Here is a 10109-nt window from a genome sequence, read left to right as displayed (position 1 = left end):
AATTTCCACGTATTTGTGGATTTTAAAAATTATTTTCCCTGTTATTGATTTCTATTTTCATACCATTGTGATCAGAAAAGCTATTTGATATATATTCAAACTTCTTAAGTTTTATGACTTTTTTGTGGCCTAACATATCTATCCGGAAGAATGTTGCATAAGTTTGATAAGAATATGTATTCTGCTTCTGTTGGATGGAATGTTCTGTATATGTCTGTTAGGTCCATTTGGTCTAAAATGTATTCAAATTCAGTATTTCCTTGTTGATTTTCTATTGGCGTTATCTTTTCATTGTTGAACATGGGGGTATTGAAGTTCCCCTGCTATCATTATATTGCTATTTATTCCCCCCTCTGATTTGTTAATATTTATTTTATATATCTAGGTGTTATGGTGTTGGATGCACATATATATATTCACAATTATTATATCCTCTTGATGAATTGATCTTATCACTATATAATGACCTTATTTGTCTTTTTTTATAGTTTTTGACTTACAGTCTATTTTGTTTGATGTAAGTGTAGCCAAACTTGCTCTCTTTTGGTTTTGATTTACATGGGTTATTTTTTTCATATCTCACATAACCCTATATGTGTCCTTAAATCTAAAGTTAGTCTCTGGTAAACAACATATTTTGGATCTTGTTTTTTCTTCATTCACTCAGCCACTCTATGACTTTTAATCAGAGAATTTAGTTCATTTACATTTAAAATAATTATTGATAAGTAAGCATTTAACATTGGCATTTTAAAATTGTTTTCTGTCTCTTTTGTTGTTCTTTTGTTACTTTTTCCCTCTTTTGCTGTCTTGTGATTTTTTGATTTTCTATTATGGTATGCTTTGATCCACTACCATTTATCTTTGCATATCTAATATAGTTTTTGTGTTGTTGTTGCCATGGGGCTTACATAAGAAATCTTACAGTCATAACAGTCTATTTTAAGCTGATATTAACTTAACTTCAAAGGAGTGGGTGAAGCACACAAAGTGTCAGGGGCACCTGTGGGCCAGCTTGTGGGGAGAGTCTGCAGGAGAAGTGTTCCAAGCAACTCATAGAAAGGACTCCTGATAGAGTCCACAAAGAATTTAACAGGCTACATGGCTCTTTGTTGAGTTTTAAGCCATTATTATTGTTAGTCTCTGCCTCTTTTCTTTGCTTCCAGCTTCTCCTAGCCATTCAGCTATGCTGATCCCCTCACTATTCTGGATGTGATTAGAAAGAGGTGGGCCTCTTGGGCAGTACTTCACACAGCTGGAACAGCTGGACAATCACTCTTTATGTTCTCATTTTCTCTTATAAGAAAAATCCTGGACAGAGGTGCTCTCTCCAGTAGTGAGCTGTGATGCCTTGGGGTGAGGTGACATGGGTAAAGTGAATTATTTTTCTTATCCTCCCCAGTGTGTCTCTTCTTGGTTATTTTTGCTCCCATGGTATGGTGGAACTTCTCTGCTGGACTCTTGGACTCCCTCAAAAGTACTCTCATCTGTGAGTGTCTGTTAAAATCACTGTGCTGTGGGAGGATGATGGTAGAAAACTCCAATTCCACCATCTTGCTTACATCGCTCTTTGAGATTCTGGTTTTAAATGTTTTTTTATGTGACCAAATATCTGAATTAGAGAAAAACCTACATTAATCCCGAAAATTATAAATATTTAGAACACTAGGGATTATGGTGGACATGATAAAAGCTTTAAAAAATATAACGAATTTATATTAAGAAAGTATTAAAATGGTAAGCATATTTTAAAAAGTAACATTTACGTACTAAAAGATGATGGACAAAGTTTTCAAAATTCTTTATATCAACCTACAATACTAGATCCAAACAAGGGATTACTCAAATGTGGTGGTAAAATAAAGTTGTGGACATTCAAGGACTTTGATATGTACTTTTCTTCTACCTACGCAAATACTTACAAGGGTACTATACATAAGTAAAGAAGTAAGCAAAGAAAGAAGAAAATAAGAAATAGCGAACAGGCAGTCCAACACAAGAGAACCATAAAGAGAAATCTCAGGATTATAAACATGCAGCGGGTGTTGAGAGTAATTTTTCCAGGTTTAAATAGGAGAAAAGAAAAGTAATAATTATTCAAAATGAGTTTGAATATTCAGGGGAAATAAATTTGATAGGTCTAGGCTGAATATGATAGGGCAGCTAGAGAATTTAGGGATAGGTTTATAGAAAATTGAGCAAGAGAAAAATGAATCAGTTATTAACTCTACAAAATTAATTTGTACAAGAAAGGAAATCACAGGTAATCTTATCTATGTTTCACAAGGAATATATTATTATCCTAGTTGCAAATGAAATACAGACTACCTATCTATGTCTTAATTCAGAATTATTTTATTGCACTGTTTAAAGTTCAAATACATTTGAGGGATAATTCAAATATCTGTTGAATGTATTTATTTGTAAAATATTTCTGTGACAATTTTAAAAAATTATGAAGTAAAGCAATGTTATTAAGTCTCTAATAAATGAAATAAAGCTCAGAGTGTATTTGCAGTAATTTGATGAGAAGAAAAGGGTCCAAGGGATTTGAAATAGAGTTTTTTTTAGTAATATACTAACTTAACAAAATAGACAAAAATTGTATGACATAACTTCTATAATATTTTGGTTAAACTATAATGGAAGAGAATTTACTTAATTCTACTCATTTCAGAATATGATTAACACTGATATTCTATAATTCATTTAGTGTTTAAAAAATCTTAATATTCTATAGCTCATCTAATAGTTGTTTGTTGTTTTGAGATGGAGTCTTGCTCTGTCACTCAGGCTGGAGTGCAGTGGCGCAATCTCTGCTCACTGCAAGCTCCGCCTCTGGGGTTCACGCCATTCTCCTGCCTCAGCCTCCCGAGTAGCTGGGACTACAGGCGCCTGCCACCACGCCCAGCTAATTTTTTGCATTTTTAGTAGAGACAGGGTTTCACCGTGTTAGCCAGGATGGTCTCGATCGCCTGACCTCGTGATCCGCCCGCCTCAGCCTCCCAAAGTGCTGGGATTACAGGCGTGAGCCACCACGCCTGGCCTCATCGAATAGTTTGTAAAAATCTTGTCTCTGTAAACCCAGCAGTATATTGGAAACATGTTGATTTTTCTTAAATTAACAAGGTTGTAGTATTATGCATGTCTGAAACCTAGGTCAGGTTGCACACCTGAGTTCTTTGGGTAGCCTCCATTATTGTTTGCTCTGATAATCTTCCTGGGCAAGTGGAAGAACTATAAGAATTGTAGGACATAAATGAACTTATTCAGTGATGATCTTAAAATCTGTAGCTTTTTACAAATCACTTTTACAGTGATTTATTTCCTATCGTGTTCCAGAGGATCACAGAAATCTTTAATGTTTTGATTTCAAGGGAATATTTATTAGATTAAGTAAAATATATAATTAAGTCTAACATTAAGAAATAATGTTAGACTTAGGCCACAAGTCTTGGTCATCAAGACACAGTTTAAGCTTTCAAGAAGCTAACAGTCTCGTGGCATAGGGTTGTATACATGAAACTGATGGAAAGGAAAATAAAAATAAGTGCTTGCTGCTCTGGAAATAAAAGATATCTAATGCAGTCAGTTTTGTGATTGGAAACTGGCTTTAAGATATGGCTTCTGGAGAAAGAGAAATCTAAAATGAGAGTTGAAAGATGAATAAAACTCATTAAGGAACAGTGGAAGAGCATGTGCAAAAACATGTTGATAATAGAACTGTATGAACTCCAATATGCTTTGAATTAATATAAGCCATAATGGTAATGATGATCATAATGACAGTGATAATGTTGTTGTTGGTGATTTGCATGAGCTAGGTTAGTGACAGGATTGAGAGACAAGTAGAAGCTAGACGACAATGGCTTTGAATGGAGACTTCCTAGTTATTTTACTCTCTGTAAGGCTAGTAGAGATAATTAAGGATTATAGCCTGACACAGACTAGGAAATATATTTATTTATTTACTTATTTACTTATTTAATTAATTTATGTTTTTTGAGACAGAGTTTCGCTCTTGTCACCCAGGCTGGAGTGCAATGGTGTCGTCTCAGCTCACTGCAACCTCCGCCTCCCGAGTTCAAGTGATTCTCCTGCCTCGGCCTCCCAAGAAGCTGGGACTACACGCGTGCGCCACCATGCCTGGCTAATTTTTGTATTTTTTTTAGTAGAGACAGGGTTTCACCATATTGGCCAGGCTGGTCTCGAACTCCTGACTTTGTGATCTGCCCACCTCAGCCTCCCAAAGTGCTGGGATTACAGGCGTGAGCCACCACACCCAGCCGGAAATATTTTTATTTTTAAAAGAGTATTCTATTCATGTAAGGAATGGATTGCTGGAAAGTAACTAGAGTCAGAAAGAAAGCTAATAAATTGTGACAATAACAGAAATGAAACATTCAAATAGTAACAGGGTTTTCTTATTAAAAAAAGAAGTTAGACTTGATAGATGTTTTTCTTAAAAAGGTTAAGATATAAACCTTTTTCCAAACTGATTGGAAAAGGGAGGAGTCAAAGATGGTTTTCAAGTTTGTAGCTTGAGTGGCTGGGAGGTGATGGTATTTAGAAAAATAGGAAATGGAGTGGTGAAAAGAGCAGGAAAGATAATGAATTCAACTGTGGGTGTTGGAACTGACATTTTCCATTTTTTTCAAATGGTTCAGGAAACAGAGAAGTGATGTTGGCTCCAATAATTTCTGGCAAGGAACTTCAGTTCTACAGCTGGAAATTCAAGCAATCAGCAGTGAAATTGATCCCTTTCTTTTTCTTTCTTCTCTCAAATAGTAGAAGTATTACTATTAAGAGTAGTAGGAATAGCAGCAGCAGAAGTGGTAGTATTAATAGTAACAGTAACAATAATAATAGTCATAGTGGTAGAAACTGCAAAATCATTTTCCTACTGCAATAGCGTTGTTCAGTTTTGATGGTAGAGGTTCCTTCACTGAAATAATTTTACATCACTGTTTTGGTAACTATTCTTAACTATTTTGGTTCAATTTAGGTTCCCTAGCCATTTCAAAAATTTTATTGAACATTTAAATTGTCTAGAGTCAGCGGTGTTGCTTGCAACTAAAAATTCTTCCTCAAACTAATATGTTGAATTTAGGTGACTTTAGAATATACAATTAGAAATATCAAATAGGACACATGAATGCATTGGTCTTGGTGCCAGAAAAAAATTCAGAGCTAGAGATGTAGGTTTGGCAATGATTGGTATTTGGCTGTTAGTTGAAACTGTTAGAATAAAACCCCTGAGATAGCAGGTTGTGAATCTCAAACACAGGTGAAGGATTATCCTCAGGCAAGCTATGGATACCTCATTCCTTAAGACAAGAAAAGAAAGGAAAAAAAAAAAAAGCACACCTAGAGATTGATTTTCTTTCCTTAAAGTCTTGATGTTTTGTAATGACAAGACTTTCTCTTGCAACCCAGGATTTCACCACAAAGAATTTCTTTTTCACCCAAGCATTTAAATGTACTTTTCTGAGTACCTTGTTAATGTCAAAGTGAGGCCAGGCACAGTGGCTCACGCCTGTAATCCCAGCACTTTGGGAGGCCGATGTGTGCTAATCACGAGTTCAGGAGATCGAGACCATCCTGGCCAGCCAAGTGAAACCCCGTCTCTACTAAAAAAAAATATAAAAATTAGCCAGGTGTAGTGGCACGTGCCTGTAGTCCCAGCTATTCGGCAGGCTAAGGCAGGAGAATCGCTTGAACCCGGAATGCGGAGGCTGCCGTGAGCCGAGATGCGTCACTGCACTCTAGCCTGGCAACAGACTGAGACTCCGTCTCAAAAAAAAAGTGTCAAAGTGAAATTCACACTTCCTCTTATATCAGAGGTAGGTCTGTATGATCAGTAAAATACTTGATATTTTCAGAGGTCCTAAACAGCATTTATGATAAGACATCTTTCCTCTGCTATACACTTGACCTCACTAGCATTTGATAACTGGATGCAATGCAATAAATAAACATTTAGTTTCAAGCAAATACAAGAATTCAAGGAACTCAAAAGTGTCAAATACATTTTTTACCAGAAATTCCTATGAATAGATTATATTTGACAGAAACAAAAAAAATTTGGGATATTGAAATAAGTATAGATTATTAAATGGTGAATTGCAGTAATCATTTTTCTAGATTCTTATTTTGTCATTAACTTTTCTCAGCCTTTACTTCTTATCTTTGATAATATATATAGGTTTATCTCTAAATATTAAGACTTTTTAAAGGTGACTTTTAAGGTGTTTAAGTTTAAGATGACTGTTTAAGGTGACTGCCTGCTCTTATCTTAAAAAATTCTTATACAAAGGAAAAGAAACTTGACATTTGAAATGAGGACAAACATATTCTTACCAATTATTTTGGCCCCATGGTTCTTTGCTGATATTTCCTCTATTGCCCTAGATTGTGTTTCCAAGATCTGTTTTCATGTTTCTCCACTTTTTAGATTTAAGATCCCCTGAAGGGCAGGGGCCATGTCTTAATAATTTTTGTAAATCCATAAGCTAATGTAGGATCTGACAGGCTAATGTAAGAAAGCAATATACTTTCAATATATATTTGTTGAATGAGAAATTGAAGTAATCATGACTCAATCAGAGAGAAATGTTGCTCATAAGGACCTTGAAAGGAGGTACAGTCTATTAGAAAAAGTATTTCATGAATAGAATTCATTTTTAATAACACATGTTTACTAAGAACCTCATACAATGCCAGATATTGTGAATACAAAAAAGTGATAAATCTCTTTTTGTAGGTTACATAATAGGGAGAGGAATATTTGAGAGATTGTCAGGAATATTCAACCCCTACCCTCACAATACATTTAGAAAACTGCACACATTTCTTAGTAAACAAAAGCACTTTTATTTCATGCTTGTGAGAATGGAATGATAAGAAGGAAAAAATATATTCTTACAAGACTTCACTAAATGAGTTCTTTTTTAGCAAATTAAGATAACTTAGGCTTTGGAAGCATTCCCAGACGTGAGAAATAAGGCAAATAACATCTGTTTTTCAAAGTATCCACTACCTTCTTTGTGAATATGGATTCAGAGTAAATAAGCCATAGCTCTCCTCATTTCTTGTTGAGAGGTAAGAATTGTCTCTCTTAGAATCTTTACTGATTCCATATGTTGTTACAAGGCTCAATATAAATTTAAGAATTTGGGTAAAAATACTTTGAAAATATTATCTGTGTATAGAATCTATTTGAACTTAGCAGGTGTCTCTAAAACGATTACATGAAAATGCTAATTTTATGATGCTTATATCCTGCTGTTCGATGGTTGATTCCAACAATTTTGTAATTAATTTTTTCCCATTTATTTTGTTAGTTTCTAAAGCCAGGGGCATAATTTATACAATTAAATAAAACCTTGGTGTTTCTAATCAAAAGAGCAGAACACTTGAAATAATATGGATCAGACCCTGTGAAAAAAGAAACTTGCTCATAATCTAGCCACTTCATTTTCAACAGTTACTGTCACAGCTTTTAATTTCAATTAATAATATCCTTAAAAAGATTCATGCTTTGATAATTAGTTTGGACCACACCAAATTTATTTAAGTGAGAAATCAGCTTTCAAAGAAAAAACATACATCATTTTAGAGGTCTGCTTTTTAAATTTGTAAGCATTTGGCTTTTATTTTGAAAAATTTTGGATGCTCAAAACGTTGAATAAACAGGAAAATGAGCACCTGAATACTCATCATAGACATTTATTAATCAGTAATGTCCTATCAACCGGCTCTACATTTCCCACTTTCTCCAAATAAATGCTGCAGACATCAACACATTTTACTTCTAATTACTTCAGCATGTATCTTTCAAGATAAGGAGTCACACCCAGATCTCTTCATTGTATAGGGACATTTTCTCCTTGGTAGTTAATAAGTAACATGTGAGTGATACTCTGAGATCTTGTAAATACCTTTTTATCCAACACGCCAGCAATGGTTTTAAGTTCTATTGATTACCCTGTGTGAATCATGAAAACTATATTAGCAGTTATAAAATAATGACTTTTGTTTGTTTGTTTTGAGACAGAGTCTTGCCCTGTCGCCCAGGCTGGAGTGCAGTGGGGCGATCTCGGCTCACTGCAAGCTCCGCCTCCCAGGTTCACGCCATTCTCCTGCCTCAGCCTCCCCAGAAGCTGGGGCTACAGATGCCCAGCTAATTTTCTGTATTTATAGTAGAGACAGGGTTTCACCGTGTTAGCCAGGATTGTCTCGATCTTCCGACCTCGAGATCCGCCTGCCTTGGCCTCCCAAAGTGCTGGGATTACAGGCGTGAGCCACCGCACCCAGCCAAATAATGACTAATTTTATCATTCCTTAGGATATGCTTCCTCCAACCTCATATTTTTTTTTCTTTTCCTCCTTCTGTGATACCCTACCTTCTTGTAACCTGAATTTTTCATGCGTGTCCATGTGAAGAGACCACCAAACAGGCTTTGCGTGAGCAATAAAGCTTTTAATCACCTGGGTGCAGGCGGGCTGAGTCCGAAAAGAGAGCAAAGGGAGATAGGGGTGGGGCCATTTTATAGGATTTGGGTAGGTAAAGGAAAATTACAGTCAAAGGGGGTTTGTTCTCTGGCTGGCAGGAGTGGGGGTCGCAAGGTGCTCAGTGGGGGAGCTTTTTGAGCCAGGATGAGCCAGGAAAAGGACTTTCACAAGGTAATGTCATCACTTAAGGCAAGGACTGGCCATTTTCACTTCTTTTGTGGTGGAATGTCATCAGTTAAGGCAAGGACCGGCCATTTACACTTCTTTTGCGGTAGAATGTGATCAGTTAAGGCGGGGCAGGGCATTTTCACTTCTTTTGTGATTCTTCAGTTACTTCAGGCCATCTGGGTGAATACGTGCAAGTCACAGGGGATGCGATGGCTTGGCTTGGGCTCAGAGGCCTGACATTCCTGCCTTCTTATACTAATAAGAAAAATGAAACAAAATAGTGTTGAAGTGTTGGGGCGGTGAAAATTTTTGGGGAGGTGGTATGGAGAGAGAGAATGGGCGATGTTTCTCAGCACTGCTTCAAGCAGGATTAGGGGCGGCGTGGGAACCTAGAGTGGGAGAGATTAAGCTGAAGGGAGATCTTGTGGTAAGGGGTGATATTGTGGGGATGTTAGAAGAAACATTTGTCATATATTATGATTGGTGATGGCCTGGATACGGTTTTGGATGAATTGAGAAACTAAACGGAAGATACAAGGTCCGAATAAAAGAAGGAGAAAAATGGGTATTAAAGGACTAAGAAGTGGAAGGACCTACGACATCCAATTAGAGAGTGCCCAAGGGGGTTCAGCATAATTACTTGCTTGGTTGGCAAGTTTTTGGGCTCTATCCTTGAGTTTTTTTATGTTGTCATACACCAGGCCAGATTGATTTAGGTAAAAACAACGCTCTTCATTTAAGAAAATACAGAGTCCTCCTTTTTCAGCAGTGAGTAAGACAAGGCCTTGGCAGTTTTGGAGGACAACTGCAGCTAAAAAGTCAACTTGGGCCTGGAGGACTGATAAAGTTTGTGACATGTCTGTGATGCTAGCAGAGAAGTCATTATACAGGCTATGGAAGGTTGTGACAGAGGTTGAAATGCCTGCTATTCCAGTACCGAGAGCAATAGTGGAGGCAGAAAGTCCTAAACCGATCAGCAAGGGAATTAGTAGAATAACTCTTTTTTGTTGTGTCAGTGTCATGAGGGGAACAGCGAGCTCTTCGGTCCCATTTGCAAATTGAATTATGGGGGTAAGGAAAACTAGTGTGCATGTACCTGTCCAATTAGCAGGTAGACACATGTAAGTAGAGGATCCACAGAGGAAGAAGAGACCTTGTGCGAGGCAAAACTGGAGATGCAAAGTAAAAAAGGTGAGAAGGAGTGCTGAAAAGGGGTGTCTTGTAGCCAGACTCCTAGGGATCCAGCTAGGGCGGCAGCCATCAGAGGTTGTAATGGGGACTGATGGGGTAACTGTGTAGAGGGGGAGGTTTGATTTTCATGGTGTATGAGAAAACATTGAGCATCTATGAACAACCTTTCACTGTTATTTTCAGGGCTGGGTTTAAGTAAACAAGAAGAGGGCCTGGGAGGAGAGTCTGACGAGCAA

General features: G+C 36.9%; 2 annotated features.

The window, feature by feature from the left end:
• Positions 7931-8885: an enhancer, noted in NCBI's record as "OCT4-NANOG-H3K27ac-H3K4me1 hESC enhancer chr12:18356202-18357156 (GRCh37/hg19 assembly coordinates)". NCBI's record gives its function as "activates a minimal SCP1, AML or CMV promoter by ChIP-STARR-seq in primed H9 embryonic stem cells {active_cell/tissue: H9 hESC(primed)}" and the evidence as "EXISTENCE:reporter gene assay evidence [ECO:0000049][PMID:30033119]".
• Positions 8886-9841: an enhancer, noted in NCBI's record as "OCT4-NANOG-H3K27ac-H3K4me1 hESC enhancer chr12:18355246-18356201 (GRCh37/hg19 assembly coordinates)". NCBI's record gives its function as "activates a minimal SCP1, AML or CMV promoter by ChIP-STARR-seq in primed H9 embryonic stem cells {active_cell/tissue: H9 hESC(primed)}" and the evidence as "EXISTENCE:reporter gene assay evidence [ECO:0000049][PMID:30033119]".

Source organism: Homo sapiens, chromosome 12 (genome assembly GCF_000001405.40).
Source record: "Homo sapiens chromosome 12, GRCh38.p14 Primary Assembly".
NCBI lineage: Eukaryota > Metazoa > Chordata > Mammalia > Primates > Hominidae > Homo > Homo sapiens.
This window is presented reverse-complemented; position numbering and strand designations above follow the sequence as displayed.